The 18,856-nt window shown below is 44.2% G+C and overlaps 1 protein-coding gene across 7 annotated transcripts, besides 4 other annotated features; it reads left to right on the top strand.

Annotated features, from left to right (window-relative positions):
* Window positions 5,825-6,576: an enhancer, noted in NCBI's record as "NANOG-H3K27ac hESC enhancer chr2:38982351-38983102 (GRCh37/hg19 assembly coordinates)". NCBI's record gives its function as "activates a minimal SCP1, AML or CMV promoter by ChIP-STARR-seq in naive H9 embryonic stem cells {active_cell/tissue: H9 hESC(naive)}" and the evidence as "EXISTENCE:reporter gene assay evidence [ECO:0000049][PMID:30033119]".
* Window positions 9,920-9,979: an enhancer, noted in NCBI's record as "active region_15610". NCBI's record gives its function as "activates an Ori minimal core promoter by ATAC-STARR-seq in GM12878 lymphoblastoid cells {active_cell/tissue: GM12878}" and the evidence as "EXISTENCE:reporter gene assay evidence [ECO:0000049][PMID:35858748]".
* On the top strand, window positions 10,291-18,186 carry SRSF7 (serine and arginine rich splicing factor 7). Of its 7 annotated transcripts, none has more exons than NM_001363802.1 (8): window positions 10,291-10,556; window positions 11,591-11,771; window positions 12,080-12,256; window positions 13,132-13,206; window positions 13,628-13,729; window positions 15,038-15,091; window positions 15,606-15,641; window positions 16,598-18,186. In NM_001363802.1, exons 1-8 carry the CDS (start codon window positions 10,529-10,531, stop codon window positions 16,650-16,652), a joined length of 708 nt encoding a protein of 235 aa, NP_001350731.1. In that variant the 5' UTR covers window positions 10,291-10,528; the 3' UTR covers window positions 16,653-18,186. The 7 variants fall into 7 exon arrangements, 5 of the variants coding, with proteins under 5 accessions (NP_001350731.1, XP_005264542.1, NP_001026854.1 ...); NM_001031684.3 differs by having other exon boundaries at window positions 10,424-10,556; window positions 13,628-13,738; XM_005264485.3 differs by lacking the exon at window positions 15,606-15,641.
* Window positions 10,840-10,939: a silencer, noted in NCBI's record as "silent region_11381". NCBI's record gives its function as "represses an Ori minimal core promoter by ATAC-STARR-seq in GM12878 lymphoblastoid cells {active_cell/tissue: GM12878}" and the evidence as "EXISTENCE:reporter gene assay evidence [ECO:0000049][PMID:35858748]".
* Window positions 11,150-11,339: a silencer, noted in NCBI's record as "silent region_11380". NCBI's record gives its function as "represses an Ori minimal core promoter by ATAC-STARR-seq in GM12878 lymphoblastoid cells {active_cell/tissue: GM12878}" and the evidence as "EXISTENCE:reporter gene assay evidence [ECO:0000049][PMID:35858748]".
* Window positions 18,187-18,856: the final 670 nt, after the last annotated feature.

Below are 18,856 nucleotides of genomic sequence, written 5' to 3'. Positions count from 1 at the left end.
AGCTGGGATTACAGGCATGAGCCACGGCACCTGGCCTTAACCTAGCTTTTAAAAGGTTAGTGATTACTGTTGCTAAAAACCTGAAACATAACTGAATCTTCAGTGTAAAAACAAGCATTTATCAGGCCAGGCACAGCCAATTAACTTGCTACAAGAGCAAAACTCCGTCTCAAAAGAAATAAAAATGAAATAAATAAATAAAAGCTAGGTTAATTATACATTTATCTGACAGGTTCAGTTCTGAGTGGAAAAGCCATGTAGCCAATTAGAAGGGAAATTTTTTTTCTCCTTTATTTTTTTGAAATGGAGTCTCACTCTATCACCCAGGCTGGAGTGCAGTGACACGATCTCAGCTCACTGCAACCTCTGCCTCCCATGTTCAAACGATTCTCCTGCCTCAGCCTCCCGAGTAGCTGGGATTACAGGTTCATGCCACCCTACCTGGCTAATTTTTGTATTATTAGTAGAGGCAGGGTTTCACCATGTTGGCTAGGCTAGTCTCAAACTCCTGACCTCAAGTGATCCACCCTCCTTGGCCTCCCAAAGTGCTGGGATTACAGGAGAGAGCCACCACCCCTCGCCAAATTTTTGTGTTTTTAGTAGAGACAGGGTTTCACCATATCGGCCAGGCTGGTCTCAAACTCCTGACCTCAGGTGATCCACCTGCCTCCACTTCCCAAAGTACTGGCATTATAGGTATGAGACACTGCGCCCAGTCCTATTTTTGTAATGTGACATTTTTATTTTTCTTTTCTTTTATATATAGAGATGAAGTATTTCTATGATGTCTGGCCTAGTCTCAAACTCAAGTGAGTTCAAGCTTGAGTTCAAGCCTGGGCTCAAGCAATCCTCCGACCTAGGCCTCCCAAAGTGCTGGGATTACAGGCATGAGGCACTGCACCCAGACTGTATTTTTAAACGTTTGTCTTCTGATTATGTTTCTTGTATCTGTCTTCACCACTGATTACGACTGGCACTTAATTAAACTAAATTATGCTGGGAGTAGTGGGTCACGCCTGTAATCCCAGCATTTTGAGAGGCAGAGGTAGAGGCGTGCCGAGGTAGGAGGATCATCTGATCCCAGGAATTCAAGACCAGCTTGGGCAACATGGCGAAACCCTGTCTCTACAAAAAAATACAAAAATTAGCCGGATGTGGTGGGGCATGCCCGTGTCCCAGTTACTCTAGAGGCTAAGGTGGGAGGATCACCTGAGTCTGGGGAGGTCAAGCCCACAGTGACCTGTGTGGGTGATAGAGTGAGACAAAGAAAAGAAAAAGAACAAGAACAAGAACATAGGCCGGGCACGTGGCTCGCCGGGACCAGTGGCTCACGCCTGTAATCCTAGCATTCTGGGAGGCCGAGGCGGGTGGATCACCTGAGATCAGGAGTTGAGGTAAGGAATGTGGTGGTACACGCCTGTAGTCCCAGCTACTTGGGAAACTGAGGCACAAGAATCGCTTGAACCCGGGAAGCAGAGGTTGCAGTGAGCTGAGATCGCGCCATTCACACTCCAGTCTGAGCAACAGAGTGATACTCTGTCTCAAAAAAAAAAAACAACCTAAATTAACATTTACCAGATCGTTATGATTATTTTCAATGTACATATACTATAACAAACTTAAGATAAAGTAATCATTTAACTGTTAATACTACAAAAGTCAGAAAAATATACCAGTGAATACAAAGGACTGATGTCCTTGAAGTAGAAAGAGTTCCTATGAATCAGTAAGCTAGAACATACACCCCAGCAGAAAAAAATCAGCAAAGGACATAAACAAATTGCCAATAAGCATAATGTTCAGCCTCACTGTAAATCAACAAAATACAAATTAAAAAATATAAGATTCTTTTTTTTGTTGTTGTCTCAGGAGTCTCTCTCTGTCATCCAGGCTGGAGTGCAGTGGCATGATCTTTGCTCACTGCAAACTCTGCCTTCCGGGTTTAAGTGATTCTCCTGTCTCAGCCTCCTGAGCAGCTGGGATTACAGGTGCGTGCCAGCATGCCTGGCTAATATTTGTGTTTTCAGTGGAGACGGGATTTCACCATGTTTGCCAAGCTGGTCTCGAACTCCTGACCTTGTGATCTGCCCACCTTGGCCTCCCAAAGTGCTGGGATTACAGGCGTGAGCCACTGAGCCTGGCCAAAAAGATCCTTTTTTTTTTTAGACAGAGTCTTGCTCTGTCGCCCAGATTGGAGTGCAGTGGCACAATCTCAGCTCACTACAAGTTCTGCCTCCTGGGTTCACGCCATTCTCCTGCCTCAGCCTCCTGAGTAGCTGGGACTACAGGCGCCCTCCACTACGCCCGGCTAATTTTTGTATTTTTAGTAGAGACAGGGTTTCACCACGTTAGCCAGGATGGTCTCGATCTCCTGACCTCGTGATCCGCCTGCCTCAGCCTCCCAAAGTGCTGGGATTACAGGCATGAGCCACCATGCCTGGCCCAAAAATCCATTTTTAAAATCAAATTTGGCAGATTAAAAAATTAACATCCAGTATTAAGGAAGGTACTGAGAACCAAAACCATTGCAGATTTGTTGTTTTTCACTTCAGCATTACCTATAACATAAAACATGAAAGCAATCTAAACTTCTTACGAGAGGATTCCTAATTAATGGAATACTATGCAAACAAAACGTTGTAGAAGAATATTTAATGACTTAGAAAATTGTTTATGGCACAATGCATTGTATTAGTTGGGGTTCTCCAGGGAAACAAAACCAGTAGGATATCTATATCTATATCATCTATCTATCTATCAAGATTTAGTGTAAGGAATTGGCTCATGTAATTATAGAAGTGAAATAGTTTGAGTTTGCAAATCTATCAAAAAATAAAATGTCAATACTACAGGACTTTTAAAGAAAACAGACAGTCACAAATAGTGACTGGGAAGGTATAAAACTGAATGTGATTTTTAATTTTTTTTTTTTGAGACAGGGTCTTGCTATCTCTCCCAGAATGGAGTGCAATGTCATGATAGCTCACTGTAATCTCTGCCTCCCCAGGCTTAAGCCATTCTCCTGCCTTAGTCACTCAAGTAGTCGGGGTTACAGCCGCATGCCACCATGCCTGGTTAATTTTTGTATTTTTAGTAGAGACGGGGTTTCACCATGTTGGCCAGACTGGTCTCAACCTCCTGACCTCAGATGATCTGCCTGCCTCTGCTTCCCAAAGTGCTGGGATTACAGGTGTGAGCCACCGCACCCAGTCTTGAATGTGATTTTTTAAAAAAGATTCATGGGGCCGGGCGCGGTGGCTCACGCCTGTAATCCCAGCACTTTGGGATGCTGAGGAGGGCAGATTAGGAGGGCAGGAGTTTAAGACCAGCCTGACCAACATGGTGAAACCTGTCTCTACTAAAAATACAAAAAATTAGCCAGGCGTGGTGGCATGGGCCTGTAATCCCAGCTACTCAGGAGGCCGAGGCAGAAGCATAGCTTGAACCAGAGTGGCGGAGGTTGCATGCCATTGCACTCCAGCCTGGGCAACAGAGCAAGACTCCATCTCAAAAAAAAAAAAAAAAAAGAAAACAAAAAAAGAAAGAGGCCAGGCGCAGTGGCTCACTCGTGTAATCCCAACACTTTGGGAATCCAAAGTGGGCCTGGGCCTAGGAGTTCCAGACCAGCCTGGGCAGCACAGTGAGATTCCCTTCCCCATCTCCCTGACCCCCACCATCTCTACAGAAAAATAAAGAGCCAGGAGTGCTGTTGCATGCCTGTAGGTCCAGTTAGTCAGAAGCTGAGGTGGGAGGATCCCTTGCGCCTGCGAGTTCCGGGCTGCATAAGTTGAGATCGTACTCCAGCCTGGATCAGGGAGAGAGACCCTGTCTTAAAAACAAATGCAAACAAACAAAAACCCACCCCACTGTTTCCTAGAATTATTCTGTCCAATTAGGTACCATGGAAGGTTGTTTACTGTTGTTTTTGGCTTTGTTTTTTAATTGTTTTGTGGAGATGGGGGTCTTATCATATTACCCAGGCTGCTCTTGAACTGGGCTCAAGCAATCCTCCTGCTTTGGCCTCCCAAGTGCTGGGATTGCAGGTATCAGCCACTAGGCTCAGTCCATTGTATTTTTATGCATAAATACCTTTATTCCTTCATTAGAAAAACAGCCCCTGGGCCAGGCACGGTGTCTCACACCTGTAATCCCAGCACTTTGGGAGGCCAAGTCAGGCGGATCATCTGAGATCGGGAGTTCCAGACCAGCCTGACCAACATGGAAAAACCCCGTCTCTACTAAAAATACAAAATTAGCTGGGTGTGGTGGCACATGCCTGTAATCCCAGCTACTCAGGAGGCTGAGGCAGGAGAATTGCTTGAACCCAGGAGGCGGAGGTTGCAATAAGCCGCGATCGCGCAATTGCACTCCAGCCTGGGCAACAAGAGCGAAACTCTGTCTCAAAAATAAATAAATAAATAAATAATAATAATAAATAATAAAATTATTTTTAAAAAATAATACAGACAGGGTCTTGCCATGTTGCCCAGGCTGGTCTCAAACTCCTGAGCTCAAGCGATCCACCCACCTCTGCCTTATGAGTGTTGGGATTACAGGCATGAGCCACCTTATCCGGCCGTTTCATAATACAATGTAACATTCCTCAGAAAACCTCACCATTACCTAGATTGTTTTACACACCTAAACCATCCATTTAGGTAATATTTGTATCAGTGGGGCATTCCTACATCACGTTATTCCTTTTCCTAGTTTCACTCTTGAAGTTGGTCAAAGCACTGCAGTTCTTTAACTATTGCTGTCTCTAGCCTCTCATCTTTTAGTACTGATGGTTCTCCTGTACTTGGCTAATGAGAAATTAATTTCTTAATACAGTATGAAAGAATTATGAACATGCCTCTTCCTTCCCAGAATGTCCTAACAGCATTCTAGAGGAAACAGAAAATCATGAAATGTTGAAAAAGAAAAACTGAACATAGCCGTTTGGCTTGACCTACAGTACACACATACACAGCACATACATAAATATATATTAAAGACTAGTATTTGGCTCTCCCTCTCCCTCTCCCTCCCCCCCTCCCCCTCCCCCTCTCCCTCTTCCTCTCCCCACGGTCTCCCTCTCCCTCTCTTTCCACGGTCTCCCTCTAATGCCGAGCCGAAGCTGGACTGTACTGCTGCCATCTCGGCTCACTGCAACCTCCCTGCCTGATTCTCCTGCCTCAGCCTGCCCAGTGCCTGCGACTGCAGGCGTGCGCCGCCACGCCTGACTGGTTTTCGTATTTTTTTGGTGGAGACGGGGTTTCACTGTGTTGGCCCGGCTGGTCTCCAGCTCCTAACCGCGAATGATCCGCCAGCCTCGGCCTCCTGAGGTGCTGGGATTGCAGACGGAGTCTCGTTCACTCAGTGCTCAATGGTGCCCAGGAGTGATCTCGGCTCGCTACAACCTCCACCTCCCAGCCGCCTGCCTTGGCCTCCCAAAGTGCCGAGATTGCAGCCTCTGCCCGGCCGCCACCCCGTCTGGGAAGTGAGGAGCGTTTCTGCCTGGGTGCCCATCGTCTGGGATGTGAGGAGCCCCTCTGCCTGGCTGCCCAGTCTGGAAAGTGAGGAGCGTCTCTGCCCGGCCGCCATCCCATCTAGGAAGTGAGGAGCGTCTCTGCCCGGCCGCCCATCGTCTGAGATGTGGGGAGCGCCTCTGTCCCGCTGCCCCTTCTGGGAGGTGAGGAGCGTCGCTGCCCGGCCGCCCCGTCTGAGAAGTGAGGAGCCCCTCCGCCCGGCAGCCGCCCCGTCTGGGAAGTGAGGAGCGTCTCCGCCCGGCAGCCACCCCGTCCGGGAAGGAGGTGGGGGTCAGCCCCCGCCAGGCCAGCCGCCCCATCCGGGAGGGAGGTAGGGGGTCAGCCCCCGCCCGGCCAGCCGCCCCGTCCAGGAGGGAGGTGGGGGGGGTCAGCCCCCCGCCCGGCCAGCCGCCCCGTCCGGGAGGTGAGGGGCGCCTCTGCCTGGCCGCCCCTACTGGGAAGTGAGGAGCCCCTCTGCCCGGCCACCACCCCGTCTGGGAGGTGTACCCAACAGCTCATTGAGAACGGGCCATGATGACAATGGCGGTTTTGTGGAATAGAAAAGGGGGAAAGGTAGGGAAAAGATTGAGAAATCGGATGGTTGCTGTGTCTGTGTAGAAAGAAGTAGACATGGGAGACTTTTCATTTTGTTCTGTACTAAGAAAAATTCTTCTGCCTTGGGATCCTGTTGATCTATGACCTTACCCCCAACCCTGTGCTCTCTGAAACATGTGCTGTGTCCACTCAGGGTTAAATGGATTAAGGGCGGTGCAAGATGTGCTTTGTTAAACAGATGCTTGAAGGCAGCATGCTCGTTAAGAGTCATCACCACTCCCTAATCTCAAGTACCCAGGGACACAAACACTGCGGAGGGCCGCAGGGTCCTCTGCCTAGGAAAACCAGAGACCTTTGTTCACTTGTTTATCTGCTGACCTTCCCTCCACTATTGTCCTATGACCCTGCCAAATGCCCCTCTGTGAGAAACACCCAAGAATGATCAATTAAAAAAAAAAAAAAAAAAGAATAGACTATAGGCCAGGCATGGTGGCTCACACCTGTAATCCCAGCACTTTGGGATGCCAAGTTGGGTGGATCACTTTAGGTCGGGAGTTCGAGACCGGCCTGGCCAAGATGGCGAGACCCCGTCTCTACTAATATTACAAAGATTAGCTGGGCATGGTGGCTCATGCCTATAATACTTTGGAGGCTGGGGCACAAGAATCACTTGAACCTGGGAGGCAGAGGTTGTAGTGAGCCAAGATCGTGCCACTGCACTCCAGCCTGGGCGACAGAGCAAGACTCTGTCTCAAAAAATAAAATTAAAAAAAAAAAAAGACTAGTATTTTTTAGCATAGACTACTTATTTATATTAAAAATAGAATATTGGTGTGGCAGAGGGGGAAGTTGGGGTCCAGGAGGCGGAGTCTGAGGTCTGCCCACTTCTTGCCCTGCCTTAAAAACAAAAAAACAAACAAAATAGACTAATGTGCAAAACATTTAAATTTTTTTTCCTTTCTTGTTTTAACGTTTTCACATCCAAGCTCAAATGGTGATAATGACTTAAAAGTGAAACTGAAATGGTGAGAGAAGTACGATTAAAAAGGGAACTTTTTCTTTAATATTTATCTGGAAATACCAAATGTAGAAAATGCAGATACATTTTGAAAACTGCTGTAAAAGGCTTATGAATTACTCCCCTTTCCTAAACTAATAATATTTTTAAAATTTAACAATAGTAACATGTTAATAACTAATATTTCATATTAGGAAATATTACAATATTTGAAGAAAGTAGTTTTCATATTCAAACAATCTGAGAATGTAATCTAAATTTAACAGATTTCTAGAGGCAGAAACTTATGTGGGTGAATGTGATTTCAACAAGAATCAGCAGGAATAAAAGTTCTCTGCACAGTAAAATCTCCCTGATTTGGACTGACATTTAGTGAAAAGAATTGGTTGCCTGTTCTTAGAGAAAGAGTGTTCAGTAGAAAGTAGAATAGTCTATGGAAATAGTATACAGTACTATTATTTTTTCATGGTAACCAGATTAACAAAGCCTGGCCTTGTACTGGCCCTGCTTTCATAGGAATAAACAGTATGTAATTAGCTTATTGAACACCTGTCTGCAAGACAAGCATGTCTGTGAATCAGGATTTGAAAGCAATTGGTTATAAATTTTAAAACTGCTTCTGTTTACTATTACTTGCTTAGAAATTTCTTTAGTACAACTATAGACTTTGTTTTGTTTTGTTGGTAGAGATGGGGGTCTGGTTCTGTTGCCCAGGCTGGTCTCAAAGTCCTGGCCTCAAGATATCCTCCCACCTCAACCTCCCAAAGTGCAGAGATTACCGGCATGAGCCACAAAACCTGACTTAGACTTTGTATTCAGAGTCAAAAAAAGTTTATTGGAAAAAAAAAAGTTTATTGAGGTTTATTAGGAATTATACAGTATAACATGCACTGTCTTTCAAGCAGTTATCTATGCTTGGCTCAACAGTAATTTTCTTTTTTTTTGAGTCGGAGTTTTGCTCTTTTGTTTTGGAGATGGAGTTTCACTCTTGTTGCCCAGGCTGGAGTGCAATGGCGCAATCTCGGCTCCCTGCAACCTCCACCTCCCGGGTTCAAGCAATTCTCCTGCCTCAGCCTCCCAAGTAGCTGGGATTACAGGTGCGCACCACCACGCCTGGCTAATTTTTTGTATTTTTAGTAGAGACGGGGGTTTCACCATGGCCAGGCTGGTCTTGAACTTCTGACCTTAGGTGATCCGCCCGCCTCGGCCTCCCAGAGTGCTGGGATTACAGATGTGAGTCACAGCGCCCGGCCTAGGAGTTTTGCTCTTGTTGCTCAGGCTGTAGTGCAATGGCAAGATCTCAGCTCACCACAACCTCCACCTCTCAGGTTCAAGCGATTCTCCTGCCTCAGCCTCCCGAGTAGCTGGGATTACAGGCATGCGCCACCACGCCCAGCTAATTTTGTATTTTTAGTAGAGACGGGGTTCCTCCATGTTGGTCAGGCTGGTCTCGAACTCCTGACCTCAGGTGATCCGCCAGCTTCAGCCTCCCAAAGTGCTGGGATTACAGGCATGAGCCACTGCGCGCGGCCTCAACAGTAATTTTCATAGCTTCTTAACAGAAGAAAGTCAACTTAGTGAGGCTTTACAGAATTTATATTTTATCTTTCAGATACCATATAATCTTTTTTTTTGAGATGGAGTCTTGCTCTGTCGCCCAGGCTGGAGTGCAGTGGCACGATCTCAGCTCACTGCAACCTCCGCCTCCTGGGTTCAAGCAGTTCTCCTGCCTCAGCCTCCGGAGTAGCTGGGACTACAGGCACACGCCACCACGCCAGGCTAATTTTTTGTATTTTAGTAGGGACAGGGTTTTACTGTGTTGCCCAGGCTGGTCTCAAACTCCTGAGCTCAGGCAATCCGCCCGCCTCGGCCTCCCAAAGTGCTGGCATTACAGGCGTGAGCCACTGCGCCTGGCCCCTATATAGTCTTTATAATTATTGTTTAATTCTTTTGAGAAGAACCTATAGATCTTTATAATTATTGTTTCTTTTGAGAAGAACCTTGTTAAGAAAAAAATCACCAAGACTAAGGGAGAACACATATACTCTACAGAGCTTCTATTTTCTTCTTAGAGATCTTCCTGAGAGAGATTAATTCTCTCCATAACTTAATCAACGTAAAAAATATGCATAAAATCATAGCATGACCTGGAAAGAATCCATGCTTTATTCACCAACTAGGCCTGCTTTCCCTGTACTCTCCATTCCACACCTATACTCACCAAATGAAGTTGCAAAAGACGAAAAAGATAAAAATGCAAATACCTAAATGTCTTTTTTTATGTACATTTCCAACTTTTGTGTATTCCAAGAATTTACGATGTAATGTCTATGTTTCTAGCAAAAAAGAACTTTTTCTCTATTTGTAGTTGGTGTCTAGAGCAATTCTAATGTAAAGAAGTTTTGCATTTATTTGGTACTGTTGAGTGGCTGAGCAGCAAGGCTGCTATTTCCACTGAGTGGAGATACACAAAGATGACTTAGGAGTCCCAGTCCTCAGGATCGGAGTATTGGTGGATCACACGTGTTACAAAGCAGAAAGCATTAGGAAAAGCAAATCAGTTACTTTGAGCTTCAGATGCAAATAATTTCCAAATTGTCACTGGCCAAAATGCTTTAAACATTCAGGGTTTTGTCACAATTTCAATATAAAGGGGGGAGGGGGGAGCGGGACCCCACAGCTCTATTCCTTTGTCTTTCAGACTCCAAGAACTCAGACCGTGGTGGTGCAAACTGGTGACTGGTTCAAAAGAAGTTGGAGGGGGCGTGTAGGACAGGAGGCTTTACCACCAGTCCCAGGGTGCGTCAAGGTCTATGGTGTAAAAACCACTACTCAGAATGGCGGGGTTCATGGACTTTTCACCATGGCCAAACCTTCGATTACCTCTGATGAGCCCCAAAGATCAGAGTAGCTGACTAGGCCAGGTCCCCCAGCAGAAGGGCGCGACGGCTGCAACATCAGCGGTTAAATTGTACAGCCTTTCATAGGCCGGTCTAATGCATCCGTACTAAGATTGTTAAGGCTGAGGGTCCCTAGCCTGGGGAAAAACGAAAGGAGGCAGAGGGTAGGGAGACGGGAAAGAAGACAAGGAGGGTGTAGAAAACGGGGAGAGGAGGGGGCGGGACAGCATGGGGAAGGCCTCAGGTTTACTGGAGAGATCGTGGCGTTCCCATAGAAACGTATCCCTCCGCCCATGACCCGCGTGTTAGTCTCTTCAGTTCCTTCCGCGTCGTTTCTTGGCTGTTTCCGCCCAGCTCCTTTGTGCCGCGCAGAACAACGAGATGACGCATGCGCAAAGCGCAGCGGCCGCATATATAAACGCGAACCCGGGCTCTTCCTCGTAGTGCCGCCGGGACTCTTGGCGGGTGAAGGTGTGTGTCAGCTTTTGCGTCACTCGAGCCCTGGGCGCTGCTTGCTAAAGAGCCGAGCACGCGGGTCTGTCATCATGTCGCGTTACGGGCGGTACGGAGGAGGTAAGAAGCTGGAGTCCGGTGAGGGACGTTGGTGTGGGTGTAGTGAGCACTGCGAGGCCGTAGGGTTGTCGCGGAGGTTGGGAGACGGTTATTCCGCGTGCGTAATGGCGGCTTAGGAGCACGCCAGACGAAGCCGGAGGCAGCGGAGGCGGGGTGCTGAAGGGAGACGGGATGGCGGGTGTACATCTCTGCCGAGTTCCGTACTCTTGGGCATTTTTGTGGCCCAATCCAGCCTAAAGCAGGGTTGAGATGACGGTTTTCGCGTTGCCTTTCTCGGAGCTGCCCGCCGGCCCCCCTCCCCCCCCGCCCTCGGCGGCGGCTGCCATTTTGCGCACATTGAGGACCGTGGTGGCGCATTTCCTCAGCGCTTTCCCGCCACTTCAGCGGACAGATCTGGCCGCAGCTGTAAGATCGTGGTTGTGTTTGAGATAGAACGAAATTGGCAGCTGTGAGCTGCATGTTCTCGTCAAACAATCGGTTAAATTGCGGAATGGGAATGGGGACGTAATCTGCGACTGGCGGCTGGGTTTTTTTTAGTTATTTCCAGCGCGGTTTATGGCTCTGGGGCGGGGAGCTGGAGTCTTGGGCGAGCCTGTGCCTGGGACGTTTGCCGCGGAGGACGAGAGCCGGCGCAGCCCTGCTCTCCTGGCCCGGCCCCTACCGAGGCCCTCCCGCCGCCGACGCCGCTGCCGCTGCGGGCCCGCGCGCTCCCGGTGCGCCCGGGGCTGCCGGGACTCATGGGTGGGGCCGGGCCAGGTTCCGCCCCACGCCTCGGTGTATCCTACCACGCGTTTCTGCTTGTGTTCGGGAGGGTCACCCCGCATTATTTAGAACGTTAAGAATTTTGTCAAAAGTCTAGTTTCTCAGGGATTTGCGGACTTTCACCAGTTTTACGACTAAGTTTTGTCTTGGATAGAGGGCATTAAATGTGCTTTACCCAATCTTGAGGATGGCCCGTTTTAAGGCAAATAAGTAATTGAAACTTGGGCCAGATTTTGCGTAACGTGCATTCTTCTATTTGCGTTTTTAAACAGAAACCAAGGTGTATGTTGGTAACCTGGGAACTGGCGCTGGCAAAGGAGAGTTAGAAAGGGCTTTCAGTTATTATGGTCCTTTAAGAACTGTATGGATTGCGAGAAATCCTCCAGGATTTGCCTTTGTGGAATTCGAAGATCCTAGAGATGCAGAAGATGCAGTACGAGGACTGGATGGAAAGTAAGTAAGATGTTATGAATCTTCTGTTCATTAAAATATACTGTGGCTAGATAATGAACTTAGTGCTAAATTTGGATTCTGAAGTCTGGAAGAGACCTTAAATAGCTGGTCATAGTGTTAAATGCTAAAGGCACACGAAGGTTAAAGAAGATAGCGGAGATGGAGTTAGGGCTTGGTAAAGACCGCCAAAGTTTGTTGGGGGGGAAGGAGTGGTTGGAAAGAGTGAGTGGTTGGAAAGAGTTCTTTTTAAATCTATAAGTCCTGAATATATTTTTAACTTTAGAATTTTGTTAATTTGCTTTTATTAGGGTGATTTGTGGCTCCCGAGTGAGGGTTGAACTATCGACAGGCATGCCTCGGAGATCACGTTTTGATAGACCACCTGCCCGACGTCCCTTTGATCCAAATGATAGATGCTATGAGTGTGGCGAAAAGGGACATTATGCTTATGATTGTCATCGTTACAGCCGGCGAAGAAGAAGCAGGTATTTATTTTAATAAAGGAATGGTTGGTATTCTAGTTAATCAAGTAATTCTTTTATTAGCAAGGCAGAAACTAGTGTTTTTCTATAAACTTGAATGTTAATTGTACAGGTGTATTTTACAATTTTTGTTTAATTAAAAAAATGTTACTATATTAATAATCAACCTGGTCAAAACCTTTCAGGTTTCTTCGTTTGAGTCAGTCGCCTTGATTCAGAATGTCACGAGCCTTATGATATCATGCTGAGGCGCCTTGCAAATCCGACAATTAAGATCCTCCTAGACCTTGAGGTGATCAGCATAAGAGGCCAGATCCCCTCGAGTCATCTACACCTAGCTTCACCTTATTCTTTAAAGGGCAGAAAATTTGAGACGGTGATCGCCGTAACAGTAAATTTGGCTTACAATTGGGGCCCCCCTCCGGTTTAGAAAGAGGAACACCAGATTGACCACATTCCCAACTAGAAAAATCTTCTTGCGTCAATCAAGCCTCACCTGGCTCATTTGGCTGTCAGTTTGATCGTCGTTAGATTGAAGAAAACATCTAGATGCAGCGATCGGCTATAGATACTTCTAGATCGTCTAGATCTACTAGACCATGGGCCAAAGAGGGTCGACCTGCAAACTTGCAAGGTTTATTTTAAATACACATTACAGTGTTTTATATTATGTAATGCTAAGTTGTAATTCAGCTTTTAACAAATCTTTTTTTAGGTAGTAAAAAAAAAAATACTCAACAACTAATAGGCCCAGAGTTTATTTCCAAATGAGACACTAAATTTAAATAGTTTTGAGATTTGATTTCAGCAGAGGCACACAAACTCTTAAAAACGAGTTATTGTCTGACATTTTGTTTTTTCTCTAACTTGAAAAATAGGTCACGGTCTAGATCACATTCTCGATCCAGAGGAAGGCGATACTCTCGCTCACGCAGCAGGAGCAGGGGACGAAGGTGAGATCTTGTTTAACTGAAGTCTTTCTGTATTATTATTAAATTCACTGGTAGTCCAACACAGAAAAAGCTCATTATTTTTTTTGGAGACAGGGTCTTGCTCTGTCACCCGGGCTGGAGTACAGGGGCATAACCACGACTCACTGCTGCCTTGATGATCTCTTGGGTTTAAGCAGTTCTCCTACCTCAGCCTCCCGAGTAGCTGGGACTGTAGGCACTGCCACCATACCCAGCTAATTTTTATTTTTGTAGAAATGGTCTTGCACTGTTTCCCAGGCTGGTCTCAAGCTCCTGGGCTCAAACGATCCTCCCGCAGTGCTGGGATTATGGGCATGAGCCACTGCACCGTTCCCCAGTTGAAGTCTTAACAGGCCAAAAAAAAAAAAAACTGTGGAGATGGACTTAAAGTTCTTTATTTTAGGTCAAGGTCAGCATCTCCTCGACGATCAAGATCTATCTCTCTTCGTAGATCAAGATCAGCTTCACTCAGAAGATCTAGGTCTGGTTCTATAAAAGGATCGAGGTATTTCCAGTATGTAACACTTTTTTTCCTTACTTGTGTTTGGATTGTTCACATCTTATCAGTAGAGTGTCTTAAGGACATAATTCAAATGGATTGCTTCAGGGAATATTTGAGATGTAAAAGTTTGGAATTTATGTGTAACTTGTAACATAAATATTAACCTAGTTTTACAGATGAAGAAAAGGGCTACTAGAGATTTTAAGGCTTGTTAGGCCGTGTGGTAGACAAGGGTCCCAAGCAATACAGTTCTACTCAACACTCTGGGTAGGCATGTTGCTATAAACTTTTCTGGCTTCAGATTGGATGATACTAGCTCTGAAAGATGGTAATTGATTTTCCCGACAAAAAGGCCTATTAGCACCAGGAAAAGAGATCAGAAGCAAGTAGAAACATTTCTCATTTTTGGAATGATGGGGTTGATTTGAGACACTGGAAAGTTGACTAGGGCAGTAGTGTGTACACAGAAATGAATGTGGATTTTTTTTTTTAGACCGTTTCAGACCTGAAAAAACTAAAGAACCAGAGCTTTACTATTTGTAGAAGGCCTTAAAAGGAGATAGAATGGAAAAAATTGTAAAATAAGTATTGCAACATGTAATTAACAATATTGTTATCTGTACCAACGATAAAACCGTGGTACGGAATGCTACTGGGAGTTAAATTGCTGTTTAATAGCACAAAACCTTTAAATGCAGGAATTCTGAATCTTGTGGTCTATTTGAGAAAGCTATGAACCATCTCTTTAGATAAATTTAAAAGATAGATATGTCAGTCTGATTTGGTTTGTCTGACAGATTGATGGCTCTCAAACATAACTTGATCCAGGAATAAAGCCTTACAAATGGGGGGCGGCTTTCTTTTCGTCTGGCCTTATCACCTGAATTAGTCTCAGTTCAGGGGTCTGGTTATTTTCATCCTGCCTTAGCCTCCTGAGTAGCTGGGACTGCCATTGTGTACCACAGTGCCCAGCTGAGGGATCTGTGCCTTAAGTGAGGTTAGTTTTGCTTCCTTCATACCAGTCTCATCAAATGAAAACCATGTATTTCCCTTGGATATTACACAGTGTTTGAGAATGTTATACCTGTACAGAAACTAACCAATTGAGTGATAGAAACAAGTAATTGAAATGGGGGTTCCTTATGTCTGGTAACACTTTGTTTGACAGTGTGTTAGACAGAATAAGGCAAGTGTTGCATCTTGTTTAGTTTTAGCTTCTTTATGCCTGACCAACCTAATACAGTGTTGAGTAGTTAAGGAAATTCCTTTGGACTGATTGATATAATTGTGTTTTTCACTTTTTTTATTAAGATCCCCGTCGAGGTCAAGATCAAGATCCAGGTCTATTTCACGACCAAGAAGCAGGTAGGGTAAAAATTTGATTATGCTTTTCTAGTTATATGGCACCAATATCCAAAGAGTTCAAAGTGTTTTTAATTGTTGAAATTTTAAGTGTTAACTCTAAACTTAGGTTTTAGTGGGAACACAGTACCTTATTTGTGTATGTCCTATTTATTACTGGCTGACTTTCCCTGAACAAGGGAATGTAAAACTATAGTGAGAAAGAAGCTTATGACTTGGGGGATTATATTAAAGAGGCCCTTGTTAGAACTGATAGGTGCATGGAGAAGCATCCTGAAATCGATGTGCTTAAAGCAGAATGTAAAAGATTAATCATGATGTAGTAATTGAGTCATTTTTTGAAAAACAGTTGTTGAAAGATTGGCTTTTGTTAGCAACAACTGGTAGGATGTTTTTCAGTTTAAGTGCAGTCTGACATTTTAAGCTTAGGACATTTGGGGGTTTTACGGTATTGGTGACTACAAGAAAGGGATTGGTTAGTACTCTTTCTTTAATAGAATTTCTCATGTTTTGACAGCCGATCAAAGTCCAGATCTCCATCTCCAAAAAGAAGGTAAGCTAAATGTTTTGTTGCCAAATCTTGCCTGTCAAGTGTGGCCTCTGCAGAATTTGTTTGCTTACTGCTTTGCAGTCTTTGAGCTCTTTGGAGAATTGGTGCTATATAGATTAAAATACTATGCTAAGTTTCTGAAATACTTTTTTTTTTTGATTCAGTAACATTAGTTTATACTTTTGCTGGAAATACTTAGTCATAAAATGTTAGGGTGATTATTAAGATGTGATTGGTCCTGTGAGTACTTGGTAGAAATTTTGGTAAGATAGATGCCTTTTCCCCACATGTACAATAGATACAAAGTGTGGAGAAAAGTCTTGGAAATAGTTACCTGCCTAGTGCTTCTTTATGACCAGAAAACTTCAAATAGTTGTCATATTTATCTAGTGCTTCTTAATGACCAGAAGACTTCAAATAGTTGTCATATTTAACTGCAGGTTGACCTTGCAATTTTGACAAGGAGGATAGCCTAATTTTTTTTTTTTTCTGGGATGGAGTTTTCGCTCTGTCCCCAGGCTTGGAGTGCAGTGGCTCAATCTTGGCTCACTGCAGCCTCCGATTCCCGGGTTCAAGCAATTATCCTGTCTCAGCCTCTTGAGCAGTTGGGATTACAGGCACCCACCGCCAAGCCTGGCTAATTTTTTGTATTTCTAGTAGAGACGGAGTTTCACCATGTTGGCGAGGTTGGTCTTAAACTCCTGATCTTAGGTGATCACCTGCCTCGGCCTCTCCCAAAGTGCTGGGGTTACAGGCGTGAGCCACCGTGCCTGGCCAGGGTAGCCTAATCTTAAGCCAGGGACAAAAGATGAATATATGTAAGTTTCATGTCATTTTTAGGTCTTTGCTATAGGAAATTAGTACCTTAGGCCACCTTTGAAGTTATTGAAAGTTAGTACATGTACATGAGAGTTTCAATTGACACTAATTGGATCCAAACCTAATGTTTTTCTTTTTAGTCGTTCCCCATCAGGAAGTCCTCGCAGAAGTGCAAGTCCTGAAAGAATGGACTGAAGCTCTCAAGTTCACCCTTTAGGGAAAAGTTATTTTGTTTACATTATTATAAGGGATTTGTGATGTCTGTAAAGTGTAACCTAGGAAAGATAATTCAACCATCTAATCAAAATGGATCTGGATTACTATGTAAATTCACAGCAGTAAGATAATATAAATTTTGTTGAATGTATTAACATCATATGGTCTGAAAATGTGGGTTTTTATTTGGCACATTTAAATAAAATGTTTCTAACTAGATTTTTGATTTGTGTTCAATATTAACACTTCTTAATTTGATATATTTGAGAGTCAGACATTATAATTGTTAACCTTATTCATACATACCTACATTCAGAATTGAAAGGTGTTGGTTAAGTCTTGAACATCACTATTCTATGCATAAAACTTGGCCAGGATCTTAAGGGACTTTGAAAATTCCATCTTACCCTTGTAGCTCTGGGTAAGATGACCTGAGTCCCTTATGATACAGCCTGAATGCATCATGACAGATCCTTAAGTTAGCTAATCCGTTTGAAGTTGGTGTTAGTAGGTATTGTATGATCAGTGGTGAAGCAAGTAGGACCACTGATGTGTCTAAATGAGCATGACAGGAACTAAACGAAACTGATTAAATGTATGAGAAATAGAAACATTTCTGGATGATCTTTATACTAATTGCAGCTTTCAGGCTACTAGGTGGCATAGTGTTAATTAGGACTCCCCAAGATATGGGGAGTTCTACTCTCAATGGTCTTGTTTCTTTGCTTTCTACATTAGTTAACCAGTTTTATACCAAAAAATGCATGTTTGAGGAATTGTCTGAAATTGGGACAAAACACCTTCATGTAAACCAGCTTTGCAAAATTTTCCAGCCCAGATACTCTTCATCTATTCAAATGGATTGTCTTATTCTGAGCAAAGACCTGTTGTTAATCTTCAAGCTAGGTTTTGCAGTTCCCAACCACAACATTCTTCTATTTTGCCAGGCTGGTGCAAAGTAATTAAAGATGTCAATCAGAAATGTCAATGAGACTAAAGTGGTTTTGTAAATCTCAGCTATATTTAGCAACACTCCATGTAGCTAATATTTTTTGGTAGCATCTGGTAGACCTTAGAATGTTACATAGCCAGTAGGTTCTTTATTCAAATTTTAAGTATCTTAAGAATAGTAGGGCAGTAACAGTTACTTTTGAGAGTTTTCTGGTCAAGCTTTTACCAGGCATTCTCTAGCCTTGGTACAAAAAAAAAAAAACCTGCTGGTTGCGCAGATACCTAGGCTTGTCCATTTTATGCATTTCAGCAAAGTCATTGGATACTATTGCAACTTGGGAATACTGGTCTGCATCAAGTTTATTCGGTAGTTTGACCGCTAGTATGTTGGAAGTTATTTGGATTGTTTTTGGAATTTTGACTGGCTGAATTATGGTTGGTATAAAGTTATGTGTATAACTGGCAGGCTTATTTATCTGTTGCACTTGGTTAGCTTTAATTGTTCTGTATTATTTAAAGATAAGTTTACTCAACAATAAATCTGCAGAGATTGAACAAATAATCCTGATACTTAATTTTTGGAAGTGGGAGCTCTCAGCCAAAAGTAGGAGGCATTAATCCTGTAGCTTTAGGATGGGCAGCTAGTAGCGTCCTAGAAATGAGTATAGAAAGGATAAAAAGGTGTGGAGGAGGGGTAGGGGCAAAAATGGTTTTAAACAAATTCCAGCCTTGTGGGGAAAAGGGCTGTTTGGGCCAATACCTCTTAGGTCATGTGCAACTTGGCACCCGTTACTGATAGATGCATTTCAAAATAAGCTTTGGTGCATCCCCCCACTTGTTTTCTGTGATTGGGATTGCCAAATTGATTGTCACTGATTGGAAGTGCTGCTCCAGACTCATTCCTTCTAAACTAGCCTAGCACTGATGAGTAATCAGTCAGTTTTTATTTTTAATTTTTAAAATTTTTTTGCTTGGTGCGGTGGCTCGCGCCTGTAATCCCCCAGCTACTTGGGAGTCTGAGGCGGGAGAATCACTTGAACCTGATTGAATAGAGGTTGCAGTGAGCTGAGATTGCGCCACTGTACTCCAGCCTGGGCGACAGAAAGACTCTGTCTCAAAAAAAAAAAATTAGTGTTGCAGTGAATGTACTGTACTGTACGTCATTGACAGGTGATGTACAGTACAGTACATCATTGATAGGTGAACATGCTTACCTAGATCATCCTCGGAAA

This window comes from Homo sapiens, chromosome 2, assembly GCF_000001405.40.
Source record: "Homo sapiens chromosome 2, GRCh38.p14 Primary Assembly".
Classification (NCBI taxonomy): Eukaryota; Metazoa; Chordata; class Mammalia; order Primates; family Hominidae; genus Homo; species Homo sapiens.
This window is presented reverse-complemented; position numbering and strand designations above follow the sequence as displayed.